Source organism: Homo sapiens, chromosome 3 (genome assembly GCF_000001405.40).
Source record: "Homo sapiens chromosome 3, GRCh38.p14 Primary Assembly".
Lineage (NCBI taxonomy): Eukaryota > Metazoa > Chordata > Mammalia > Primates > Hominidae > Homo > Homo sapiens.
Window position 1 is genome coordinate 22958839 of NC_000003.12, and position 1493 is coordinate 22960331.

At 43.8% G+C, this 1493-nt stretch overlaps 1 annotated feature.

The window, feature by feature from the left end:
• Window positions 1002-1131: an enhancer, noted in NCBI's record as "active region_19586". NCBI's record gives its function as "activates an Ori minimal core promoter by ATAC-STARR-seq in GM12878 lymphoblastoid cells {active_cell/tissue: GM12878}" and the evidence as "EXISTENCE:reporter gene assay evidence [ECO:0000049][PMID:35858748]".

The following is a 1493-nucleotide window of genomic DNA, read 5'->3' on the forward strand; positions in this document are numbered from 1 at the left end:
GGATATGGTTTTAGAAGCACCAGGGATTTTCTGTGAGTACCCACATCAGCATGAGATCTGGTCTTACTGGGAGCTGCTTACCCCTACTCAAAGATGGCCCCAAGAGTGAAGAAGTCAATGCCTCTTTGAAGGCCTTGTATAGAAAGATGGCACATCCTCTTTCAGCTGACAGATAGGATCTCTGGGAGCCTGTCCTATCAGCACCTTCCAAACTGTGATGCTGGTGACTCCATCATTAGATCTCAGCACCAACTGTTGGGGCTGAAGAAGCTGTTCCTCAGACACAAGGTCGCATGCTCACAGGTCAAATAATGCAGATAGCAGTGGAAGATGTTGGCATATTTTGCTTAATATTAATTTTGTTTGTCGAACCATGCCGCTATTAGTCTGTTCTGGTAGTGCTATAGATTTCATTGTGCATCACTTGCTGCCTCTTTTGGGGTAGAGTAGGAATAGCATGTGTATTGTTGGGGAATTAGGAGGCCCTTCAAACCATGAGGAAAAATCACTGAGATGGGAGGCCAATGTTTCAAAACTGTTTCTGTGGCTATTGTTCCAGAGAATCTCTGGACCCAGACACATTCCCAAAGTTTCAATTATAAAGACTCATTCCTTCAACAAATATTTATTGCACACATACTTGGTGCCAGGAATTGTGCTAGGCACTACAGATACTGCAGTGTTTACATAGACAAGGTTTCTGCTCTAATGTACATCAAATATAGAAGCCATGTAATAAACAGGAAACATATAGGTGAACAAAAGAAGTACAGCTTGTGATAAATTCTAAGTAGGAATAAACAGAGAACAAGGATGGAGAAGAATGGCAGAAGGGAAGGCAGGCCAGCCGACATTCAGTACATGTCAGGAAATGACTGTCTAGAGGGTGACACTGAAACTGAATTTCAAAGAATGAGTAGGAGGCAGGCATGCAAGTCTCTGGAAGGACAGAGGAACAGAAGTGGGAAGTCCCTGAGGCCAGAAAAGACCCATTCTAGGGCCTATCAGAAGGCATGTGGCTACCACAGTCAGTCTCTGGGGAGAGAGGCATGAGATGGAGTCCGAAAGGGGTGGTTCTTCCGACCCATGAGCATAGAATGCTTTTCCATGCATTTGTGTCACTTCTGATTTCTCTCAGGAGTGCTTTGTCATTCTCCTTGTGGGGATCTTTCACCTCCTTGGGTACTATGCCCACTACCTGGGCCATAGGATCATTTGTACCCCAAACCTCAGCATCATGCAATATACCCATCTAGCAAACCTGCACATGTACCCCTTGAATCTAAAATAAATGTTGAAGTTTTTTTAAAAAGCAGCAGCAGAAGAAGAAGAGAAAAGAAAAGAAAGGGCTGTGGGAAAGAGATGAGGCAGAGCCTCTTAGGTCCCGGTAGAGAATGCACAGTTTATTCTCAAAATAAAAGGAAGCCATAGGAAGGCTTTTAAACAGGGAGTGGCATTATCTCAAGCATTTTTTAAAGATCCATCTGGTTACT